The 27,175-nt window shown below is 35.1% G+C and overlaps 1 non-coding gene and 1 pseudogene across 2 annotated transcripts in view; both read left to right on the forward strand.

The window, feature by feature from the left end:
• Nucleotides 1-27,175, forward strand: part of EGFEM1P (EGF like and EMI domain containing 1, pseudogene) — a 581,078-nt pseudogene that overhangs the window by 284,521 nt on the left and 269,382 nt on the right. The window lies entirely within an intron of this gene.
• MIR551B (microRNA 551b) lies at nt 17,812-17,907 on the forward strand. Its single transcript, NR_030294.1, has one exon. It is a non-coding gene; the product is annotated as a microRNA 551b (primary transcript).

Here is a 27,175-nt window from a genome sequence, read left to right on the forward strand (position 1 = left end):
AAAGAGCATATGGTAATAAGTTTTTTTATGCTTTGCTGTTAAAGATTTAGTGGGAAGATTATCTGGAATACTTTTTATCAAATATCTTATTTAAATAAGAGGAATTCTTTAAAGCATTAGCATTAAAAATTCACAGAGCCTACAAAATTAAAGATAGAAAAATCTATTAGGTTATCTTCCGTCTCCCAGAAAAGGATTACTTCAGAGGAAAGAAGCTATGAAAATGAAAATAAAAACTGAAACAATTATATCAATATTACAGATGAGTGAAGAAAGGATGTATTGGATTGTTTAGAGAAATCAAACGAAATAATTTTTTAACCTTTAAGAAATCTTTTACCTATTTTTATATATTAAGTTTATATGTCTAAAGCCTTTACAGTTAAATCATGTTATTTTTGTTGTTTCTAAACCTAAGTAATTTTGAAACCTTTTTATTACAAATAAGCAGCTAATATTCAAATCTGAATATTCGCAAAACAAATTATGTGCTTGCAGTACTTTAACATGTTTTGCCTTTTGGTTTTGAATTCTCAATACAAAATTCTGTTTAATCACATTTATGTGATATTTTCATTTTGTTATATAATATGCACACAGATTAAAATAATTTTAAAGATGTGTGTGTTAGAAAGCAATTATCAGTGTATTTACAGATTTTTTCTGATATTTTTCTTTTCAAGAATCAATGAGCTACTTTTGAATGTGAAATAGACGGACTAGGAAACAAACTTTACATTTGTCAGCATATGATATCACTGATACTTTCAATTTGAATGATCTTTTTTTGATGATTCAGTACCTTTTAGAAAAATGTTCAGTGTTTTAGATACCTAACCCTGACCCTGTTCTTCTCCAGCAAGACATATGTGGCTTTGTTTCTTGTGGCGGGAGGAGATCTTATCTAGCCACAGTGTGGCTGGGATGGTCTGCTCCTGGGGATGAGGTATGACTGGTCCAATCTGGATACTTGAGTGGAATGCTGCCACCCGCAGTCAGAATCTATAGCCCCAACAAAGTGTCACCAGTATTGACGTTTTATGTTCTCTAGCTGTTATACACCCCTTCTTCAATTTCAAGATTGATCCTACAGATTGAGGTAGAATTGATGCTAAGGGTCGAGTAGTTTTAACCCTGGAGAGAGAAAAGATGAGGGGGATGGGTAAAATAGATGGCTCTGAAAGTTATTTTAAAAATGATATTAATTTTCATACCTGAAAGGTATTAACTTATTATGTGCCAGTAAATGTGCAGGTCCTAATAAATTATAACCAACCAAGCAAGAAAGCCCTATAGAATTTGTCCTATTTGTTGCCCCAAAGTTGTCCTCACTCCCTACTGTCTGCCAGTTACACTGGCCTCCTTTCTGTTTTTCATCTTCATAGACCCCTTCTGAAACAGGCCCATTGCACTTTCTTGTCTCTCTCTCTAGAAGGCTTTTGCTCGGAAGTTTTTTTTAATCCTTCATTGTCTCAACACAAATATTTCCTCCTCAGTGGTCTATGTCTTTCATTTTAGTTCTGTTGTATTTTGCTGCTGTATCCCTAGTGCCTAGAATACTGCCTGCTATATATAATAATATATATATATTGATCAAATGAAAGATAAAGTGATATCATTTAGTCTTCATAATAACATGAGGTATATTTTGTTATTAACAGTTCATAATGGGAAAACGGAGTCTTATGGAGGGAGATTTAGTGACTTTTCTAAATTTAACCTACTAGGGTGAGGCAGATATAGAATTCAAATTCTGGTCTATATATGGAAGTTCATCTTTAAACACTGAACTATACTGTCTATACTGCTTTGGTAGTGTGAATTTTGTCATCTGTTTCAAGTAGCTTGGTTCACATGCCAATAAACTCATATTATTGTTTGTTTTCACTATGTGCTGCACAGCATAAACATATTATGCTTATAATTTGAAGTAGATCCCTTTCCCTACATTTTATGTGAGAGCAGAACCACATTTGCACATTCTTCTTAAAGCCTCCTAAAAGGGATTGTTGAATTGTGTCTTTTAAAAGTAATGCTGAAATCAATGTCATATCCACACTTAAACAAGGAAATAATTCTCATAAATAATACAAAGAAATGGAAACATTTTTGAGTAGTAAAAACTTTCTTCTGCTCTCAAAAATGTAAAATTTCTTACGATATTTGGATTTCATGCTCAACTCCAAATGGGAATTGCCATCATGATGTTATAATCCATTTCACTCAATGAAAAGTTTAGGTAGAAGAATATAAGATTACTAAGGAATAACTGGAGACTTTACTGATAAGTTATTATAAGTTAATTTGTTTTTGGACAGAGTTCCAGGTTTTCTTTGTGACCATAGTTGTACACACTTCTTGTTTTCTAGACCACTGGCACATCTGCACAACAGGTGATATGTAATTTCATCAAATAGGTTTTATCACTTTCCTTATAATGAGATATATTTTTTGTGCCTCTCCTTGATATACTTACTCTGAAGCATTTCTGGCTGAATACCTCTTTTGTTATTTTATGGATGAGAGGAGAAAAAATACAAGATTTTTTCCATCAATTTTTCCAACTTATACGTGTTTTGCTTCAACAATTTATGCAGTGAGAGGTGGAAAACCTGAGCAGTTGCTAGGGTGTGCGCTTTCTGTAGATCGATCCACACAGGACAGAATAGAGTGCATTCTGAAGAGGTAGGAATTAGAAAGTGATGCCAAATCAGCAAAACAAAACGAAGCAAAAAGCCTGAAGCAAATTAATCATGACAAAACCTGCACAAAATCTGGAGAGCAAGTTGCTGTACCTTGAACCTTCAATAAACAAATTCACTTTGAATTTTAGTAGGATAAAAGATTTAAATGCAAACTGATTCAAGATGTAAAACAAAGTCACTCAAATAGGCAAGACAGACTAGCCTACATAAGGAGATGTTGAGTTTGAGAAAAATTAATAGTAACATTTGAATACTTTAAGTATTTTACAGTTTAGAGACAATTTACTAAAACATTATTATTGTAAGATCAGAATAGTAACATATTTTTCTTTAGAATACAACTTTTTCTGCCTTTATTTAAATAAATATGATTCTACTAAAATGGAATATTCATGTTTGGTAAGATCATAATATTTTAGACTTAATTCTTAACCCAGGAACTTTAACAATTTTCTATGCAAAACTCTTATGGCAATGAACAAGATAAATTCTATTGTAAAACAACTAATTCTTGTTTTTTACAATCATGTATTTCAGCTTGTTAGAATATTTTCTATTATCAGAACCGGCTTTGTTAGTATCATGCACTGGTAACCATCTATATTGATCACATGGTAAACAACATTAGAAGTGGTTATCTGTTTGTCTTTACATATCTTGGTGGAAATACCAACTGCTAAATTATGAATGGCATACTCTAGAATTTAAAAGCATGTCGTTTTGATATCTTCTCAAAGCTAGTAACAGGTTATTGTAATTGGAAAGTCTCTTTTGAATGAGACATAGATGCAGAACAACACTAGCTCATTATAATTACATGCAAAGGGAAAAAGGTAACATGAGGTAGTCTTTGCTGAGATTCATATTTTATGTAGTTGGGCGGATAGGTCTTAATGATATATGCAAACTCTAAGAAAGTATCTTTGGTATTTTTAAAGACTTAGGCAGAAAACTGGATTTGGGAAGCATTGTTGGAGGTTTCATTGCTTCTTTCATTAAGTGGCTGGGACAATGAAGAGAGAAAGTTTGGGAAATAAATGTTTGGCTACAGAGATGGCATTCATTAATGACATGAAGAATTTTTAGCCTTGCTGAAGACACAAGTGGTCTCTAGGTACAGAAAAAACAAAACAAAAAGGCAAGAAGACAGACTTTTGTCACTCACAATAACTCTGTAATAGTTATATATATATATAACTATTGTGTGTGTATATATATATATAACTATTGTGTATATATATATATATACATACACACACACAATGGGGCTGCATCAGAAGGTAAAATTTCTTAGTTTGGGGGAATATTGATATCAGTGAACAACTTCTTGGTGAGAGAACTGTAAAGAGAGTTCAAAGTGTAAGTGATAATACCAGATGATTTTTAAATTTCCTTATAACTTGAGATTTTACAATTTTATTTATTTTTCTATACTTCAAAAAATTTGTACAAGGTTATAAAATGTCCTAGGTTATAAGATATAAATATAAATTTTTCTCATTTAAAAAGAAATTGTCTCTATTCTAATCCAATACACAGACTGTAAAATGTATAGAAATTTAAAAATATATATATTTAATATACTGCATCTTCTCCAGGTTGAGATTTTTTAAAACGACTATTTCATGTGACCCCACATTAGAGAATTGTGATACTGCAGGTTAGCTCTATTAGTCAACACTTATGGGAAAAAAAGTAGAAAGAAAAATCTAGAACAATAAGTTGGGGATGGAGAGGGGACTGGATCTCCATGAAGAGAGGAAAGACCAATAATGAGGGTATATTTTTAGATCCTGAAAAGGCAACTATGTGTGTCTTAGACCAATGTCTGGATTTCATGATGCCAAACAAATTCTTTTATGACAATTGTAATAGTACTTCAGGTTCAATCCATAATTCATCAAACAGTTTAAGCCAATCTATTCTGTATTTAACCATGTGAGACTATATACTGAAAATCTGTAGAAAATGGAAATTATATATTATAAAGTTTTCTGAGATATATTCTATAAAAGTGAAGGATTTTTGTTACATGTTATGGCGCTGGGTTATGAGGTTCCTAAAATATAAGTAATAGGAGTCATCTGAATCACTGTATTCTAATTTAATTATAAACAGTTAAATAAAACCCCAAGTAAAATCTAAACATCCATAATTTATATTTTAATTTTCATTTTTGAATCATTTCAGTGAAAAACAAGTTATTACATGGGACATATTGCAGTTTGAAACCTCACTTCATGACGACTGAAACAAAAACCTCTGACCTAATATGAGATGGCATATTTTTTATTGCAATCAGGATGTAATAACTACCAGCATGAATACTTAGAACTGTTCTCCTCCTTCTGTTTTCAGCATTGGGTTTATCTACATTTTTAATGAATTGGATAGCTTATTAGGTCGTATGACATCTGAGGTCCTTTCCAGCCTGAGATTCTAATATTCTATTTTATGTGTCTTTTCTTGAGAATCATTGTTTTTTTCTCTAGTAAGATTTACTGTTTCCTGTGCTAATAATTCAATAATTTAGAAAATAGTTGTCAAAAGATTGAGAAATTATGTGAAATCCTTAAAATTGGGCCAGTTACTTTGCCAAGCATAGCCAATAATCTTGGAAGTGCACATTATCAGTTAGTTTTGATTACAGCTGAAGATGTTGGGAGAATAAATGGGACTGGAACAACATATTCATCACTACTCCAAGGGATCCTATTATAAATATATCTCCTGAAACCCAAGTGACTGTTGCAAAGAGGGGAAACTCTCTTATTCAATATAAGCAGCACCAGTAGTTAGCTGGTAAATGGACACATTGGTAACAGTATAGAATCCAAAAGTCATTAATACATATAACCTTAAGCATTTATTTTAACTGAGTATATATAAATATACTTTAGATAACCTATCTTTTGATTAATAGTCAGGACTTTTTCTTTGATAATTGGTTTTCTCTTGGACATTTTTTTGTTGTATTTTTAGTATAAATGACATCCATTATGTGTTTCTCCCATCTCTAGTTTCATGTTCTTGGAAAATAAGTGAGAATATAAACATACTTGCAAAGTTATCTGTGAAAAATCCTTCTAGGTTTTTATGCTTTTTTTTAATACCTAATTCAACAAGGCTTTTTCAACTTTCCACCATGAGTCTGATTCTCAAAACTTTCAACTACTCGTTTTTAATTTAACACTCAAGTCTTACTGATTTTTATAATATTTAATCAAATTTATATCATTATAATTAAATGTACAAAGGACAGTTGAGTTTGAGAGCAAACACAACTGACTAGGCATACAACCCAATTGAGTGAAGAAGCTCATGGTGAAAATGTAGTCACTAGTGTGAGTGTTCAACATGCTGTGGACATTAGTCATATTTAACAAAGGAAATGCTAAGTAAAGATTAGTTCAGTGTATCAGATAAATGTAGGTTAGTTAAGAGAGCCTTCAGTGTTTTAATTTCTTTGATTATAAACTCCTTGAATGAAGTGACTGTTTCTTATGCATCTTCATATTTCCTGTTTACCTAGCATAGTACCTAGACATAACATACATAAGCATTTGTTTTTTCATTTGAGTTATAGCATTGACAACATGTAATTGTCCTAATGAGATGCTGTTTCCTCTGAGGATATGAGTGGTGGTAGTATTTTACTATTATTTTCTCTATGCTCAGCATGTAAATAAAGCAATGTTAACATCCTGTTTGTATTTCATTTTGATTGCCATTTGGTAGCTTGAGTTGGAGAAAAATTTATGCACAGCGTTTAAGAGGACCAATTTATACTGAAAGCTTTGGAATTATCTTAGAGCCACCGTGAAGCCCCTACAAATTGCAATTTCAGTCATAGAAATGCTAGAAATCAAATGAATAGAGTAACATTTGGTATGTAATACCAAAACATGTTTGTATTACTCTCTTGAACACAAGCAGCAAAAAGAGTTAACCATTAGTGGACTATAAGATTTTTACTATATGTGTGCTTTCTGTAAACTTGTCATTGCGTTTTATGAATGTGGTACATGTTCATAGTTTTTAAAGTCAAAGAGTAATACAAGACTTATTATCATTTTTGAAAAGCTATCTTCTTACCCACCACTCCCATTCCTCTCTCCCTATTTCCTAGACTGAACCTAATTTCAACTCTTTCATAGTTGTTTCTTCTCATATGTAGTTTCATAGTTTGTGCCAGTAATGACCACAAGGCAGTTTTCTGATATTTCAGTTTCAATTATGGTCTACCATCTTCCTACAAGAAATGATGAGTGCTTTTCCTTACTTCATGTCTTCCTCCACACCTTGTTATATACGTTTTTCCTCTATCCCATCCTTCCAAATCTTGTGGCACATATTTTTATTAAATTCACATTCAATAGTTTGTAACTATATAATCACCGATCAAAGATAAACCATTCAGTGTACCATGATTAAATTTCTTTTCTGACTTTTCTGTGGAGCCAACAATTTTTTTCATTTGTTTATTTTCCTATGTAAACATCACTAACTCAGTGCAAACTTTCTGAACTTATAGATTCATCTCAACAGGGTCAAATTCGTGAAGGAATCTAGCAGTCCTATTTTCTCTTTAAAGACAGCTCCTTAGGGCCTATCAGACACTACTCCAGTGAAGTTGGTTTCCCTCACGTCTGAATCACAGTTGTTACTTAAGATTTCTCTTGGCCGGGCGCGGTAGCTCACGCCTATAATCCCAGTGCTTTGGGAGGCTGAGGTGGGCAGATCACGAGGTCAGGAGATCAAGACCATCTTGGCTAACATGGTGAAACCCTGTCTCTACTAAAAATACAAAAAATTAGCCAGGCGTGGTGGTGGGCACTTGTAGTCCCAGCTACTTGGGAGGCTGAGGCAGGAGAATGGCGTGAACCCGGGAGGTGGAGCTTGCAGCGAGCCAAGATCGCGCCACTGCACTCCAGCCTGGGCGACAGAGCGAGACTCCGTCTCAAAAAAAAAAAAAAAAAAAAAAAAGATTTCTCTTCATCATCACAGTGGGAATTGCCTCTGCCTCTTTCATATTGTTTTATGAATCTCATGTCTGTTACTTGAGAAAGAGTGATTGAAGGGCAAATTCCTTGAAATCTTGACTATCTCAAAAACTCTTTTTTATACCCTCACATGTGATTGATCATATAGCTTGTTATAGAATTCTAGGTTGAAAAAAAATAACCCCCTGAAATTTTGAAAGCTATAATACTCCATTCTATTCTTGTCTTCCTTCCAGTTTGAGAAGTCTGATAACATTTGGATTCTCAGTCTATTGTATCTGGTTATTTTCTAAGGGTTTTACAATTTTTTATTTCTACCTGGTGTTCTGAAATTTCATAATGTTGTGTCTTGGTGTGGGCCTTTTTTCATTTATTTGTGCTATGTGTTTGGATGACTCTTTTAATCCAGAAGTGTATGCCCTTCAGTACTGGAAAATTGTAGTCTGATTTCTTGGGTCATTTCTGACCCTGCTTTCTCTCTTTTATCTTTCTGAAAACTTCACTGATCAATGTTGATTCTCCTAGATTGATTCTCTACTATATGTGTATTTTTAGTCTCTTATTCTCCATCCATTTGTTTAATTTTTTTACTCTGAGAGATTTATTCAACCTTTATATTGGATTATTTTTAAACAATCATTTTAAATGTCTAAATGTTCTTTCCTGTTTTCTAAAAGATTTTGTATTTTCTGATGAAATTACATAGGTATAATATCTACAGTATCTTCTTTTATCTCTGAAAGTACACATACACAAATACCACCTCCCCCCACCACAAACACACTTATTTAGGTTTTCTATTTTTATCATTTTTTTTTCACTGTTTATTTTAGTCTTTCTCTCATAGTAGAGGCATTTCTCAAATGTAATCCTTGACTGTCCACTTACATTTGAAAATGAAGTACACAAAAGGCTGATGGGAAGTTGTGTGTGTGTGTGTGTGTGTGTGTGTGTGTGTGTGAGAGAGAGAGAGAGAGAGAGAAGAGAGTCATCTTTGGGTAAATGAACAGGGACTAGCTATTTTTTTTTTTCAGGGAGTACATGCAAATGTCAGTCAGAATCTGTAGGTTTTTTTTCTTGGGCCACTTATTTTCCCCAGAAAAGAATTCTCCATTCTCATTCAATATGGAGAGTATATTTAACCCCTGTTTTTAGTGTAGTACTTCATCCTCACCTTTAGCTAGGGTCCTTAAACCTTTCCAGAAAGCAAACTTTATGTAGGGAGAGTAGTTCAGCTGACTGAGTGAGCCAGGGGTTCTGATAGTCTGTATTCTCTTATATGGACTTTAAAACAAAAATACTCCTGCTCTGTCCCACCCTTCATCCTAGACTTCAGGGGTCCCTGAAAAATAATTTCTAAGCCTGGCAGGGATATGGCATATGAATCTGGCTTCCATCCTCCTGGTAAACCCACTTTACTTACCTAAGCAGTGAAGTTTCTTGGTTTTGCTAACTCAGTAACTCCACTTCCATCTGCTATCCTCTTTCAAAAGTTTATCCCTTATCTTCTGATATTTCATTTCCTTTTCTCTGTACACTGCTGTGTTTGTACTGGATTTCCATATTTTCATTTTAGTAAGATTTTGGGAAGGAATGGAATAAAGATTAGGAAATTTTCTTCTCTCACTAGTAAGAGAAAACTGCTCAATATTTTTTTAAATGCAAAATGTGCTGTATAGTCAACTACTATTGTTTTATCAGTTCTGACCTTTGGTTAACAGTATTTTAACTTTGGATGTTACTTTCTCAAACTTCTTAAACCATTACAATAATTTATCATTTACTTTTATAACCTGAAAAATAATGTCTGAGCTCTCATAAAATGAAAATAGTTAATTTGCATGCTATTGCTTTTGAATGTTGTACTTCAGATTATGTTCTTAAATTTGTCTTATCTATTCTATAATGTGATGTTTTAATGCACATCTGATTCCCTATCATCTTAACAAGTATTTGCATTTACTGCTTTGTTTTCTTTATTTGATTTACCCTATAAAATAGTCCCTTTAGCACAGATTAGAAGTAGTTTATTACTTATTGTCTGAGTCAATGAGATTTCATACATGTAAATATTATATTCTAGTTATATTGTCTAAATACTCTGCATCACATACTTGAATCATTCTAATAACAATAATGTCAATTGAAATATATTACTTTCTTTTGCAGATAAAAAGTATTAAGGGTATCTTCTTTTTAAATAATGTATGAATTATAAATCTATGCTTATAACTTTATGATGCCTTCAAGTAGGCAACATTGTCAGTGGAAGAACTATAGTGTACATTTGTTTTTATGCTGCTAATAAAATTAAACTGTGTTAGGTTAAGAATACATTTTTAAAATGATAGTTAAAGTTAAATAGGAAGCCACTAAGTTGTGTTTGTGTTCAAGTTTAAACAGAAAGCAATATTTACCCAGCATTCTTTGAAACAACCATTTTGGATGAAATTTTTATTCAACCTGGCAAATAAATGATGACATTCATGTTCTTAAGTAGAATAAAATGCTGGAAAAATGAACAGCTCCACCTTATGACCAGTTTTGCTATAGTTTTTAACCAGTCAGATTTTGGCTTAAGCCAAGCTTAATTGATGATTTAATTATTGCTTGGTTTAAGCAGAAAGTTTAGTGTATATTGTAGAAGATGTGTAAACAAAGAATTTTCATTACTTTTCCTCAATTGAGCTAGCTCAACACAGAAATTACTTGGGGAATCTTGACCTTAGTGGCAAACAGTAAACAACTAAAGGCAGTGTGGTAGGCTAAATAATGCCTCCCTAAATCCATATTCAAATTCCCTGACTGTGTGAAGATGTTACCTTACATGACAAAGGGGACTTTGCAGATGTCATTAAAAAATCTGGAGATGGGAAGATTATCCTGGACTATCCAGGTGGGCCCAGTGAGATGATTATAGATGTCCTTAAAAGGGTTGGCAGAGGGAGATTAGACTACAGAAGAGGAGAAAGTGGTGTGATGTTGGAAGCAAACAGATTTGGAGATGCTGTGCTGCTGGCTTTAAAGCTGAAGGCAGAGTCTATGAGCCAAGGAGTGCAAGGAATGCAATTCTAGAGGCTGGAAAAGGAAAGGAAAAGGATTCTTCTCTAGAGTTCCAGAGGGAGAGTGGCCCTTCTAACAGTTTGTGTTTAGCTCAGTGAAACTAATTTCAGATGTCTGCCTTCCAGAAATGTAAGGGAATAAATTTGTTTAAGTGTAACTTGTTAGAGCAGCAATAGAATAGTAATACAGTCAATAGAAAACTATTACAGTATGAGAAAACTATCCCCAAATCACACAAAAAAGTGCAAGACCAAAAAATAGAAAAACGAAGCCACAAAGCCATATTTCCCTTCAGCCATAGCCTAAATTCATGCTCAAAGAAGATTCTTACAGAATATTTGCAAATATCCTAGTTACCACCATTTTTGCAGAAAGGTTTTTGAGGGGGTTTTCCATTAGGTGGAATATTTAGTGAAGTGGTTTGTAAGTAAAAGTTATCAAAGGTAACCAAGCTTGAAAACTTTTGTTATAATCCCTCCTGGAATTTTTCTTTTTATACCTTGTTCTCTAGGAGAAATAAAGTGAATTCTATAAACATTGTTATTATAAAGCAAGTTTAGGCTAATTTGTTTCCTGACTTTTGTAGAGATAGCTATGGCACTTACTTTTATCCTACACCTAATCATGGAGTAAAATGAAAAGCAAATGTATTACTTTTGTGAAGTTTATTGGGGGAGAGGTTGAATTGAAAAATACTTTATGAAGCTAAGACTTCAAAAATTTGCTATTTATAAATTGCATGTAGTATGTGTATATCAAAGTAAGGACAGTAGTTATTAGTTCTTTTGAAATATTACATAAATTTCTGTATGAATTATCTCTTTGTATATAACAAAGCACCTCAACCCTTACTGGCATAAAATAGCAACTGTTTATTTGCTCATGATTCTGCAGTCTGGGCTGGGGCTCAGCCAGCAGATTCTTTTGCTGGTCTTGCTGTTGATCCTGCCTGAGTTCATTCACATAACTGTAGACATTTGACAGCTCAGCTGGGGCTGGGTAATACCAAATGACCTCACTGACAGGCCTGGCAGTTGATGCTGGCTGTTGGCTGTGGTGCCCGAGTTCTCCCCTGCATTCCCTCTCATTTTTCAGTAGGCTGGAGTATGTTTTTTCAATTGATAATGGGAGCATTCCACAAGGACAAAACAAAAGCTGCATGTCTCTTAAGGCTTACCTTGAGAAGTCACACAATGGCAATTCTATAGCATTCTCTCCATGAAAGCAAATTATAAGGCCAGTCCATTTTCAATGGACAGAGAAATACAGTCTACTTCTCAATGGGCAGCGTGGTAAAGTCACATTGCAAAGGACGTGGATATGAGGTGCTGTGGTTCATTAGGAGATCCTATTGGATTCACCCACCCCACATCTCTAATGCACGTTATCCCATGTTTTTTTTTGTTTTGTTTTTGTTTTTGTTTTTTTGTTTGTTTTTTTTTTTTTTTTGAGATGGAGTCTCGGTCTGTTGCCCAGGCTGGGGTGCGGTGGCATGATCTTGGCTCACTGCAACCTCCACCTCCCTGGCTGAAGCGATTCTCCTGCCTCAGACTCCTGAGTAGCTAGGATCACAGGCATACCCCACCACACCCAACTAATTTTTGTATTTCTAGTAGAGATGGGGTTTCACAATGTTGGCCAGGCTAGTCTGGAACTCCTGACCTCAGGTGATCCACCCGCCTCGGCCTCTGGAAGTGCTGGGATTACAGGCCTGAGCCACCATGTCCAGCCCATTATCCCCTGGTTTTATCTTTATCCAGACAACATGGGTGTCTCTATTTTTAATTTTTAATTTTATGGTGTTTCGTTTTGTTCTGTTTTTTGAGATGAGGTCTCACTCTGTCACCCAGGTTGGAGTGCAGTGGCACGATCTTGGCTCACTGCAACCTCCGCCTCTCGGGCTCAAGTGATCCTCCCACCTTAGCCTCTGGGAGTAGCTGGGACCACAGGTGTGCACAACCATGCCTGGCTATTTATTTATTTGTTTATTGGTAGAGATGAGGTTTCACCATGTTGCCCAGGCTGTTCTCAAACTCCTGTGCTCAAGCAGTCCACCCACCTCAGCCTCCAAAGTGCTGGGGTTACAGGACTGAGCCACCACGCCCCGGCTTATCGGCTTTTGTTTTATTTTGTTTTAATCGGTGATGAGTAACGGTGGGGAATAGTATGCCAGTATGCATGGGAGGAAGGATTGTAGAAATCTGGCTGGGGAAATCACATTACTTAACTATTTGAGGGCGTGTGTAGTGGACATTTATTTCTTCTTGTTACTGTTTTTTTCACCACTTTCTTTCAAATATGCTGTTTTGAATATGCAAAATATAAAGTACTGTTCTGTTTGAATGTAGAAAGTACTGTGAGATTGTTCAAATTATTTGATAGAAATATATTGAAAACTGTCATGATTTGATCTCTGATTCCATGTTTGTGAAGGGAAAGTGGTTAGCTCTACAGTTGGGTGAAATTGGATGATACAACTACTAAGACATTTCCTTACGGCAGTGATTCTCAACCTGGCTGCACCTTAGATCACTTGGAGAGCTTATAAAAGTGTCGATGCTTAAGTCCTATCCCAGCACAATTACATCACAGTTTATAAGTGTCTGTATTTTAAAAAAAAACTTTACGGAAGAGTCTAATACATAGCCAGGATTTAGGACCACTCAGTGCTTTAACGGTTAGAGATTTGGAGGAATGGTTTGAAATAATAAGGTTTGTGCATATGATATAGTAAGGTTGGGTTTGTACAGGGGCCTCCAGCCAGAGCTGATATACTGACAATGCCTCAATGTGGAAAAACTGTTTACCTTCTTGTTTGATTGGATAGGAGAAAAATGTCCTAATTTTCTGATGGGGCTCCTAATTTTTAAACATACTTGTAGAGAGCAAAATAGCACCAGTGGCAACACATTATTTTGAACCAAGTAACTAATACTCCAATGGAGGGATAGCTAGATATAAAATAATGCTATAAGAATTGTCATGTATCAAATGCATTTTTATATTATCTATTTAAAAGAAAAATATTTATAACTAGAGCTTTGTAATTTTCACTTTCTTTCACCAGTGGGGTTATTTTTAACTCACTTATAGCTGGAGTTGAAAGGATATTTTTTAGAAGTCAGTGAGACTTTTCAAAGGAACAAGAGGCTATGGTATCCTCTAATACTCATTCTTAAATATATTATTCTCAGGAAATGGAAAAACACATCTGATTGTATGCAAACCATTTGTCCAGTTGCACTGTTTTATATAGGAGACAAAACTGTTAATGACTGGAGTTGGGGGATTTACCAGGCTCTAGAGTAATCTGGGATGGATAGAAATGTAGCTTCTATATTGATGCTACTGCAATGTGGCTTGTTATAGAAAAGCTCCTTTCTCACTGATATTTTCCAAAGTGAACAAGTGTTTGAATCAGAGCTTCTCACAAAAGACAGAAATAATGGAACTCTTCATTTGTTGACCCGCAAAAGTGGCTAATTAAAAACAGTGTCTTGATTTCTCCACACTGTCATCCCAAATCAAGACCTGACTGTGAGTGGGGAGAGTAATCTGATTCTGTACCTGAAGTGAAATATTAATGTCCCAGACTGGGTGAAGCCATCTAGTAGATAATATTTCTTTCTTTTTTAAAAAAGTAATTACTGGTAGAGTAAAGAATATACTCAGGCATACAAAAATTTAAGATGACATGAAATCTTTGGAGTTACAGTTATAAGAGTTGATTTATTCTAGAGAATCCAGAAAAATGGTTCAATAAAACCATCTCTGCGTGGTGAGACTGTGCATTTCAACCCAAGCCTTTAAGAGGGAAGAATCGGTATTGAGATTAAAAAAAAAAAAAATCCATCTAAGGAAAACGCTCTACGTAAAGGCTCAGGATTTAAAAAATAAAATTAAATAAAATTACCCTTGCTTTGATCCTGAGGCTAAATCTAAAGTAATCTGCAACAACAGGCCTTTTTTGTTTAAGGATTCCTGTCCTTTGAGGTGAGGTATGTGCTGTGTTTAATAAAGATTATGTGACTGATTACTTTTCACGTACTGACAGCTCCCTGTGGTGTCTTTTATGTGGATGGGGGAGATTATATTAAAGCTCTGTCTTTCTGCGTAGTGGCCACCTGCTCTTAAAAAAGGTTGTAGCAAACTTCCTTGGAAATAATGTTAGGAGTCCAAAGCATGATACAGAAACTGATGGGACTGATCTGCATCTAGACTGAGCAGTACAGTGAATAGCAATGAAGACAGGAGGATTGAGCCCCAGGCAAGCCACTATATCTGCTCAGTTGTTATATTTATCAAGGATTACACTAAAACCTAATTCTGATTATGAGCAAAGTGCTGTATCCTGAAGTAAAGATGGTGAGTAAACAAGAACAAGGGATAACCTTCTTTTTCTGTGATGTGTATGCATTTGATGAGCTTTATGAATGTATTTCCCTAATTGATTTCAAGGAAGAATTTTCTAGGGTTAATGTATGAAAAGCAATTTTTACATGAAGCCTTAGTGTAAAGTAAAGTCAATGATTAGTAGAGATCCTCAAAGCAATTGTACTACATAGAAATCAATATAAATACTGTATTAAAGCATTTATTTCACTTGTGAATCTGCATGTGTGTGGCTGGAAATAACTGCAGTATTACAATAAGCTAGGCTGAAGTTTGCATTTAAAATAGCAAAAAGGCAAATGTCTTCTATGTCACTGTCAACTATAGTTATAAATTGAGATCTGATAAAACATCAAAAAACTTTGTAAGCTTTAAAATATTTCTGTAGGGTAATATGACATCCCATGGTCTGTGTAAAAGTTAGCATGCTCTTTCTCTTGATATTTTCCCCTTAACTTTCTCCTTCAATTGGAGTACTTGGTTTTCAGTCCTCCAGTCATTACTCTGTCTCTGCATGCTGTCCTTGTGCTGTCCTGACTATATTTTTTGGTTTTAAAATCTAGGATCTTCAAGTCTATTTACTTCAAATTTACCATGGTTAAAATTGAGCTAATTTCCTACCTTCTTTAAATCTCTTTATGATTTCTCCTTACCTCTGAGTAAATGGTGTCATAACCACCACGTTCAGGGGGCTGGAAACCCATGAGTCCTCGTGCATTCTTCCTCAACATCCAATCCTCAAATTCTATTGGTGTTCATTGTTTTTTGTTGTTGTTGTTTTTTGTTTGTTTGTTTGTTTTTATCTTCACTGCCACAAGTCTGATTTTATACTCTCATTTTTCACATGAAAATGGCAACAGCTTTCTAACTAGCCTCTGCTGTCTCACCACTTACCGAGAAAACATCCAAATTCCCTGGCACTCACGCATGGCCTTTGACAACATGGTCCCTGCAAGTCCGATCTTTCCTCAGTTTTCTGGATCTCTCACCAGGTCCCCCCTTTTACCTGTTCTCTGGTGATAATGAACTTCCAGGAGTTCCTGGATCTTCCATACTTCTTACTTGCTCACCCTTCTTTCTCTTTCTCTCTTTCTCTTTGGAATGCCCTGTTTTAATTGCCCACTTGGAAAGTTCCTTTTCATCTGTTGTATCACTAGTTCCACTCCTCTACCCCACACTATGCATTAATGAAGGTCCCTTGGAAGGTCCCTATTATGTGGCCCATGCCCTTTGAGCAAATGCTACCTTGATGTAAAACTTTCCACAAAGAAGTTAATGTTGGTAAAGTGCCACTCGGAAATTAAAGCACAGTGCTTTGAAGAGTTAAATCCAATGACCTTGTAAAGAACTGGAAATTGTTAACAATGGTGCTGTCTGTCAAGGCTGGCATACTAGAGAGGCTCCGTGTGGACACCAAGATCTGAGCTCGTGAGGTAGGTGGGAGGGGGAGGCATGGTGATTATGGTAAATAGGGGGGCCCAGACAAGATGAGTCTTTCTGTCTCAGGAAGGAAAAAAAGATCACTGAAGAGTAAAGCTAGGGTACAGAATGGCAACACCAAGTTTAAGTGTTGATGCAAGGGTTGATGGCAATGAGATGAAGCTGAGCAGGGAACCAGGTAGAAATGGAACTGAACAGGTGCAGGGAGGCAATGGAGCAAAGAGGTTTCTGGGCCACTCTCAGGATCAGTCATGAAATGTCCTTAGCTTCTCATTTTTGTTGGAGGATATGTGGAGGCATAGAGCTTGGTCACATTGAGCTGACGCAAGTCACTGATTCCTGCAACCTCTAGTGATGCATTTCCAAACTCAGGTTAAAATGAAGGTCAAGAACTCCTGTTTTGCCATTTCTAAATTATTGGGATTAGGCTATGAGCTTATTTCGAGGTATTTTTCAGTTCTGCTATGCTATGACTCTGATTTTGTTTTTATTTGGTAATCTTATATGGACAATAATTGCATTTTGCAAATTTAAAAGTATCATGCCAACATGGTTTGTCTGTTACTTAGCTTTCATTTTTCTTTTAATGTTGGAAAATTGTGATACAAATTTATAGATCCTAAATTAACAAATTACTCAAGACTTTAGAATTTCTTAAAATGTTATGGTATGCTTTTTTTTTGAAAGCTCTACATTTTATAAAACCAAATTTGTCATACGAAGTTTTAGGTATCAAGAAAGAATTCTGTGGATTTTTGTGTTGTCAGGGTATCTTAGATTGTAATTTTATGTATTTTCCTTTTGGTACCTCATAAAAACTAGAAGGGCTTTCTTGAACTGCATACTTTGTCAATACAATTTGATGATGGAGAAAGACATTTAAGTCCAGAACGATTGGTGTAAAGTACACTGGGTGAGACTGTATAGTTGAATTTTCCAGATGATCGAAAATTGACAGTAAAGAAATATATACAAAATAGATTTTGAAAGAATTGTTGAATGTTTACCTGTCGCTACATATTATCTTGGATACAGTACAGATAATCCGAATGGAAAATTGCACTGAAAATGTCTTCCCCTGAGTTATATTTGCTGGTTCTTACATAAAATGTTATTTATACAACAGATTTTATTGTATCTTCTCTTGCTTTACTCCTTTATCACCTTCTAGCTAACTGTCCTGACTTCAGACCTCTGTTAGATCTGCCAGATGTGCTCTCCTGGCCCATGAAATCAAGCGTGGGTGAGACCTGGTGCAGAACGGGAAGGCGACCCATACTTGGTTTCAGAGGCTGTGAGAATAACTGCAATTTAGAGGGAATACCATTTATGTTTATGCAGGACTTCCAGAGAAAAAACAAAATTTATTATAGACATAAAGAATAAGAGATGAAATTCATGATTATATTGCATTTCTGTTCCAATGGGATTAAAAAAAAAAAAACACGTATTCTAAGTAAGTTGAACCAGGTTGACAGCTAATGATTTGATGTCTCTGTTAATGATTTTAAAACATTGTACAAATCCAAAACTGTTTACTCCTTCAAGGTATACCTCCTTTTCTCCCACTTCTCCAGCTATTGTGGTCCATTTGCCCTTGCTCTGGGCTAGTTCCTTGGTAACTAACAGAAATGGATGGACAGAGATGCCATGACAGGAGTATGGATTTTGCTGGGTCCTCATTTATGCTGGGGCATCTATCAACTCTTTTTCCAACATATTTTTGTTTCCCACACAGCCCCACTCACAGATGCTTGCCTATAGGGCCAAAAATCTCTAGTTAGCAATCTGCCAGAGTCCTGCTTTTTTGTGTAGGAGATTGGAGTTCTTTCAAATAACCCATCTGGTAAGATGTAGAGAAGTAGAGAAACTGAGGTAAATAAAATGTATATTGTTAAGTACTTTATTGCATACTTTGTACCTTTGCTGATAATTAATTTATAGACTATATCTGTTGAGCTGGTGTTGGTTAAGGTTGTATTTGCTTGTTTGTTTGTTCTATACTCTTTAAAAACTTTTGTGGGTGGGTAGGGAGGGTATAATGGTGTTGATGTATGTTGTCATCCCTTAGGCCAGAGGAACCATTTCACAATTACTTTTTATTTTCTCAACAAGAATTCTGAAGGCCTGTATCTTTGGCACAGAAAATTAAGCTATAAAGGCAAGTTCTGCCAAGTATATATTACATATCTCCTGGCCATGGATTTTGGTAGGCTGTGAGAAAAATATGAAAGTCATTTCCAAAGATTTATTTTGTATTTCCTTAATTGACTTTCATATTTGTAATACATTTTCTATTTATAAATGGTATTTCTTTGTTCCACTTAAGGTACCTTAATTTATAAACACACAAAATTAATCAAGGACATTTCCCCATTTTGTTAGGTTCTGAGAAGAATAAACCAAATTCTTCGCCAAGGCTTTTCCTTTTTTGGAAAATGCATTGGATAAACATGGTTTTCTTTGAATTATCTCAATGAAAGAGCTTCTCCCTGGACATTCTAAAGAAGTGCTGTCTGGTAGATTTTTCTGTGTTGACAGAAATGACCTACAATCTGCACTAATTTGACAGACATTAGCCACAAGGCACTTGAAAAATGGCCAATGAACTAAATTTTTAAATTTATATAGCAGCGTGTGATCAGTGGCTACTATATTGTAGAGCATAGTTCTAGAGTACTTTAGTTATTTAGATAATTTTTTATAGATTACAAGTTTACCAAATTCATCTTTATCAATTCTCTTATGAATTTGCTAGGTTTTGGTTAGTAGCTTAAGTTTATGTATTTTAGAGCAGTTTTAATACATCACCATGTGTTTTGACTTAGTACTTTTAGGCTGCTACTAAACCAAACACAATACCATAAATTGGATAGCTTATATAATTTTTTTCTCACAACTCTGGAGGCTGGGATTTCTAAGAACAAGGCACCAGCAGATTCATTGTTCAATGAGGGCCTGTTTCATGGTTCCTAGATAATATCTTCTCACTTTGTCCTTACGTGATAGAGAGGGCAAGCAACTCCTTCAGGCCTCTTTTATAGTGGCACTAATTCCATTCTTGAGGTGTCTGTGCCCGTGACTTAATCACCTCCCAAAGGCCTCCCCTCCTAATGCCATCAACTTGGAGGTTAGGATTTCAATATACAAATTTTGGGGGCAACACAAACATTCAAACCATAGCATTCTTATACAATAAACTACTCACAAAATAGAGAGTTAACTAAAACAATTCTCCAAGTTTTAAACAATTTATATGGTTGCCACTTTATTTTCTATGAAAACAAATTAAATTTCTGCTGAAAGCTAAAAGCTGGCCAATTACCAAGTGATCCCACAGTTATTGAGTGTTACTACTTGGACAGCATTAAATAAACCATTCTTTAAGTTACAGAAAAGATTTGAGGTGATTCCTCTCTTCAGCCATCCTACAGTCTTGATAGAAAGGCAAAACTGGCAGTTATGAAATAATTAAAAATAAATCAGTGCTAAACTCTATTATGTAAAATAGGAGTATAGATGAGGGAGAGATCAGTGTGGATCATAGTAGCCAATCTCTGCACTTTAAAGTTAAAAGGACCCTTAGAAATCATTCATTTGGAGTTTTAGAAATCATGAAATTGTATTTTATCAGGTTTACACACTCAAGATTTCACAGCCAGCTAATGACATGTCCAGTGCTTGAATAAAGGTCTCTTAACCCTCAATTTCGTGATCACTTTTTACTAGTTAGCCTTATACCTCCTCCTGGAGGAGTTTGTCCTTAACAATTCATTAAAAGATAGCTTGGGGTCAGCAATTATAGACCGAGTTCTATTGCAAATATCAGTTTCATCTAGCAGAGTGTTCCCCAAATTTTCGTTGTTTACTCAACACATTCATAATGTTTTTTTCATATCCTTCTACCATTTGTACTATTATTTATCCTTTTTTTATTTGAAATTCATTAAAAGGAAAATGAAAGGCCAGAATTATTTGTCATAAGTAAAAGATAACTAGGAAGTAAACACCTGAAAAATAAAAGCTAAGCTATAAATTCCCAGCCAGGCACTTTGTCTGCCTAAGCCAGAGGCCTGTTCTCTTTCTTATAAAGGAGATTAGTGAGTAATGGAAAAACATTAGATGCCATAGTCCTACATTACTATAAAGAGCAATCCTTTCCTTCACCTCCAGTTTCAAAATTGTGAGATTTACAAGGTCCAACTGTGGAAGCTAATATCTCCTATTGACCTCCCTGTGGCTGTTTTGTGACTGCCTTAGGAAGAAATTAGCCATGGACCTGCAGTTCTGCATGAGCTCATGTGCATGTCTGCATGAATTTGTGTGTCTGTATTGGTTGGTGGCGGGGGTTAGGGAATGGTGGTTACTTTTTAAATTATGCAATAATGGCGTATATTTCCTGATTTTCTTTCTTCATTAAAACAAAGCTCTTTTGAACTGGTTGCTTTTGTCCTTTACAAGGGAAAGTAATTGTATAGTTAATCCTATTTGTTTCTAATGTAATTAAATGGAATTTAGATAGATTATCTCTCCATATACAAACATGCAATTCTTATCATTTATAAAGCAAAAAAATAAAAACCCTTTTATTGTTTTTGGTGGAGCAGTCGGGGCACATTAGTAACTCTGGCTTATGTAAGAATGACATGCATTTTTCTCTTAAAGATGAAGAATGCTGTCAAAATATACTTTTAAAAATTAAGAAAAGTAAATGATTCCTACAAATATCAAGTGAGGATATTTCACAGCTTATTTAACCCATTGATGAGAACCCTCAGTATGGTGACTCAGTTTTAAAGAGACTTTGAAAAGCAGATATTTGTATAGTTAGTTTGGAAAAGTGTGATGAAATATGTTTGCTGAGTTAGAGAAAATGCTCATTAATGTCCCACAGGATAATAAAATCATAACCTTTGAACATATATTTTCAACCAGAGAGGAAATGGTTTGTATCACTACCAGACAAAAATATACAAGTTAAAAGTACCCAGAACAACTCTGGGTACTTACCAATAGTAAATGGTAAGTAAAACAATGATGTATTTTCTGGTTCTTGGGAACCCAGGTAATTTTTCCCCTTAGGGTTTTTTGGCAAAGTCTGGTGACATTTTTGGTCTTGGCACCTGGAGGGTGCGACCATCATCCAGCATACAGTCTAAGGATGCTGCTAAACATCCTATAATATAAAAATATCAGTTATTTCTGCCTCCTCTCATACCCCCAGAAAAAATTATCCCGGCCAAAATATCAGTGGTTCTCAAGTTGAGAGACACTACCCTAGAGACTTAAATCACCTTTGTACAGGCCTGATAGTGCTCCAGTGTGACACTGAAAGGGCTTGCTGCCATTCTTTTGTCTGTTCTGGATAATTTTTCTTACTAATGCCATAAGATTTTCCATGCAGTACGATGTTTTTGTATTGTCTGAATGTACCCAGAGGAAGCAGACATAGTGAGCTAGGCTAGGGCTCTGCTTGGTTATAACATTTCTTGTTCCTGTCTCATTCTATTGTTGTTTTCTTACATTTGAATGGAAAAAAAATCTAAAAATAAATGGTGAAGAAATGTTAAAACATGCATTATCTGTCACTGTGACCATTTTAATGAATGTCATTCCATTTTCTACAGGATAACATTATTTTCAGTTGGCTGTGTCCTTTCCTGATTGACACTGTGATTCTTGAAAAATAAAAATTGATGCACAATAATGTAGTATAGGAAAGAAGTACATATTAGAAAAGCATAGACTCTCCCTGCTCCTGACTAATTTCTTTCAGTTAGAAAGTTAAGGAAAACTGACATATTCTCTCTAAGAAAATATGGAATTGGAAACATCACACCTCATTCTTTTCAACCCTTCAATAGGTTGAATTGAAAGTCAGCAATTAAGAGCAGTCTTTTCTTATACCTCCAATTTAGTGAAAAGGTAAAAACAGAAGGAAAATTCATATATAACATACTACGATATTCCAGGAACAACCACTATAATTTTTGTGTATTTGTTCAGACTTTTACTAGGAACAGCCTCATTTTCTTTTCTATTTAACTGAATGTTTTTTAATGTAACATATGCTTCTTGGAATAGGCACAAGCATACTGAGATGAGGGTGAAGACTTGCTTCTGTACCCAAGAAATTCCTATGTCAGTACCCAGAGTTCTAATTGTAGAGAATATGCAATAGTATATATTAATTTTTCACTTAATATCATACTATCAGAATTTTTTTCATGTTGCCACATTGTTCTCCTAATCATTTAATGCTGGGATTTATATAGATTTAAAAACAGCTCAAGTTTCCTGTAAGAAATATGATGCAATTTATAGTTGCATTTCTCATATAAGTAAGCAGTAGGATCACACTCATATACAGGAGTAAAATTATCCTCCAAATAATCTGCACAGGGCCTGGTACTTGCTAGGTGCTTAAAAAATGTTGATTTTCTTTTATTCAAGTTCTAGCATTTTTATACTGGAAGGAATCATGACATTGGCACATTCCTTTTTTCTCTTTTTATCTTTTTTAATAGTAAAGGAACTGAGACCTTGTTAATTATTATTATTATTATTATTTTTTGAGACGGAATCTCGTTCTGTCGCCCAGGCTGGAGTGCAGAGACCTTGTTAATTTAACTGGGGCAATGTAGAACTCTGTACTTGAACTTAAAATATTAGGTTCAAGTGCTATCTCTGCCTCTTATTGACTGTATGATAATAGATGAGCCACTTTACTTCTTGAGGCATTTCAGTATATATTGGAGAGAGAGTTGCACTAGGTAAAATACGTTGTTTAAGATTTAAGGAATTTTGTTTTTTGCTTCAAGAGCTCATGCTGATAAAATTGATATAAATATAATGGTAATGTGAATTAGCACAACCACTAGGGGGAAGAATATGGAGTTCCCCCAAAAAACTAAAAATAGAACTACCGTATGATCCAACAATCCCAGTTCTCGGTATATATATATATATAAAAAAGTATATCAAAGAGTTATCTTCTTCCCATATATATTGCAGCACCATTCACAATAGCCAAGACATGGAATTAACCTAAATGTCCATCAATGGATTGATGGATAAAGGAAATATGGTACATTTACACAAAGGAGTATTATTTAGCCATAAAGATGAAGTCCTTTTATTTATACAGAACAGGAAGACAGTATGTTTAGTGAAATAAATCAGGCACAGAAAGATAAATATTGTATATTCTCACTCATGTGGGAGCTAAAAAATTTTGAACTCATGGAGATAGTAGAGTGGTGGTTACAAGAGGCTAGGAAGGGTAGTAGGGAGGAAAGGTAAAGTGGGGATAGTTAATGGGTACAGGTATACAATTATGTAGAATGAATAAGGTCTAGTATTTTGTAGCACAATAGGGCCACTATAGTTAAGCATATTTATTATATATTTAAAAATAACTGAAAGAGTAGAATTGGAATGTTCCTAACACACATACATAATAAATGGTTGTGATGAATACTCCAATTTACTTGATTATTGCACATTATATGCCTGTATCAAAACACTACATGTATGCCAAAAACATATACAACTACTATGTACCCATAATCATTAATTTTTTTTAATTTAAAAATCTATGATCTCTTTAAGGACAAAAGTCTTCCAAGGCAAATATTAATCTACTAAATAAGCTCACTGTATAGAGAGCCCAGAGTACTGTAAAATAATATGCATTCATTTGGAAACAAAAACTAATATTATAAGAGCACACTATGTATTAAGGATGCCTTCAAACATTTTATGTGGGTTTTTACTTTAATCTTTAGTTACACTTTCAGGTAGATGATATGCTTCTCCGTTTATTTAAGGAAACTTCAACCGAGTGAAGTTGCCACATTTTTCTAAATAACTCATCTAGTATATATTTCATTATGCCAAAGTCTAGAAAACTGATGTGTTCATTCAAAAACATTACTTCAACCTGTCAGTAGCAGTCTTTTTTTTACCTCTTTACAGTTTTAGAAAGGCCTTTTGGGCATGGTTTTGTGATCCATGACTATTTAAAAATCTCGTCAGGGAAGTAGGAAATAATTTTCTTCTTATCTCATATGAATTGCTCTTGTAGCAAAGAGACTGTCAAAAATATTCTCTCCATCATTCTTCAGGAAAATGTTAAGCATTGAGGGCAAGCAAGCCTCTTAAACTAGAGACCCAGAGGTACAGTAGAAGGTATTCCAGAGTTGAGATGAGAGTTCTATGCTCCTGTCTTTGCACATATACTGACTTGTGTGATTCAGCTAATTTCCAGGAAGCTCAACTATAAAAGTGAGGGAGGTGCACCAGATGATCTCCAAGATCTTGTACTCTGTTTGTACTCTACTCTCTCCTTGTGTATCTTCCCCACCCACTCTGCTGTTCTGTGCGGGGAAGGGAGATCTGTAGCTCTGTTGTATTAAAGTAAAAACTTTAGAAAAATATAGCAGAGTTTAACTGAGCAAGGTACAGTTCAGTGTGGGCAGGCAGCATTTGTGGATAAAAAATGGAGGTGAAGTACAGAAACAGCTTGCTTGGTTTTGATTTGCATTTGTCTCGCCTCACCGTGGTCTGATCAGTTGGCCATCTGTGATTGACTGAAGCTTGGCTACTGGGACTGACTGAGATCCAGCTAGTTATTACAAAAGTATACTGCTGTGTTAGGCTTCAAGTTAGTTTCAGTGCTGTTAGGTTGCATTTTATTATGTGAAGAGTCAAGTACAGAGGCATTCACAGGCCAAATTTAGTTGAAGAATCTTCCCCTTTTGGTCAGCCTCTCAATTTTGAGAGATTTGACCAAAACCTTGGACATGGATTCTACTCTCTCTTACCATCATAAATTGACTTATTTGGTCTCAGTACGGAATTTCCAAGTGAGTTCAATAATTCTTTATGATCTTGATGATCTAATCAAAGTGAGACTATTCAAGGATTGCTAGATGGCTGCATACAAAAATTTAATACTTGAGAGGAGACCACACATCATGGGGACTATTATATAATGATCATTAGGATAATAATACCAAAAGACTTAAGTATACTGCACAACAGAAGCCCCTACAAACTGAACTGATCAAAATCAAGCACATTGAAGTTCAGCTAATATAGAAAGTTCAGTAGTATTTGAGTCCAATTGATCATAGTCGGTGTTCAGGATGTGATGGTGATTAAAGACCACAGTCCACTGTGGAATGGTCTGATTTAAGAGGAATACAGTTTTGTCATTAACCAGTTATTTTAAGTTATAGTCACCTGGAGACCCACTAGAAGATATAAACATTAGAAAACCTTGGAAAAGCCAAGCTTGCCACTCACCACTTAGGATGTCTACAAACCAACTATTAGTGGTTCCTATAAACACATTGTGTGTTCTTATCTCTTGAGAAATTTCCTTGATTATTTGATGTCAGGGTTTTAAAAAACAGAGGTTTCAGCCAACTTTTAAATTATGCTTTCTGTAGTAGCAAAATAAGGGGAAATATAGATACAGCATTCAGTTTTGTTCAATACCTTACACAAGCCCCCAGCATGACAAAAAAGGAAATCTAAAACTGCATGATGTTTCATTAAGTGCTTTTTGCTGAACATGTATGTTTTTATCCACCATTCAGAGAGTGACTTCTATCAGTATGAACCCCTAGGAGGCCTTGTTGGCCACAAAGTCCAAGATTTTTTTCCAGTTTACAGATTAGTTTCAAATTCCGTACTACCGGTACTCCACTACTACCCAAGAGTGAGCCCTCAGTAACCTCATTGGAGTCTTTCCTCATTGGAAACTAGATTATCTTTACAAACCCAACAATTGCTCCAGTTTTTTGCTAGAACATAAACCTTAACTAAAAAAAAAAAAAAAATTCATCCACAAATTGTGGTTCCACAGATTTTTCTGCAGAGAAAAGGAAAAGATTAGGACAGCAGCAAATGAGGAAAAAAGAAAAAGGGTAGTCCTTTCATAATGGCATAGAAAAGAAGCCTTTGTCTGTAATCTTTGGAAAGCCATTCATATCTAGGATGCCATTTGCTTCTGCAGAGAAACTTCCCTGGTCGGCTTTCCCTAAAAGTCTCCAATGAGTGTGCAGCTCTAAGAGTCTGGAGGGTCATTTTCAGTTGTAAGATGTGGACCCAAGGTTTGAGCCCCCAAAGTTTTGCTGCAGTGAGGGCGGTGAAAAGAAGTTGGTATGATCCCTTTCAATGGAGTTCAAGGGCAGTCTTTCTTTGAGGTCATTTCCAGAAGCCCCAATCTCTAGGTTCTAGATCTTCAAAGATTTGATTGTTCTCAGTTGGTGTATTATAAAAAGCTTCCTTTACCCGGTGAAAATACACTTTTGCAAAATGCATTAAAGCCTTAGAGCATTTAGTCATATCAGGGTTTAGGAGACCAAGAGATACATGAGGTCCCATCATTAAGGACAGAGGCCTTTCAGTGACTATTTCATGAGAGGTCAACTTATGTTTTCCTCTGAGGGTGGATCTGATTGCCATCAAGGCCAATATTAATACCTTTAGCCAAGGCAATCTAATCAATTCAGTTAACTTTGCCAGTTTCAGTTTTAAGATACCATTTGTTCTTTCAACCTT

This window comes from Homo sapiens, chromosome 3, assembly GCF_000001405.40.
Source record: "Homo sapiens chromosome 3, GRCh38.p14 Primary Assembly".
Taxonomy (NCBI): domain Eukaryota; kingdom Metazoa; phylum Chordata; class Mammalia; order Primates; family Hominidae; genus Homo; species Homo sapiens.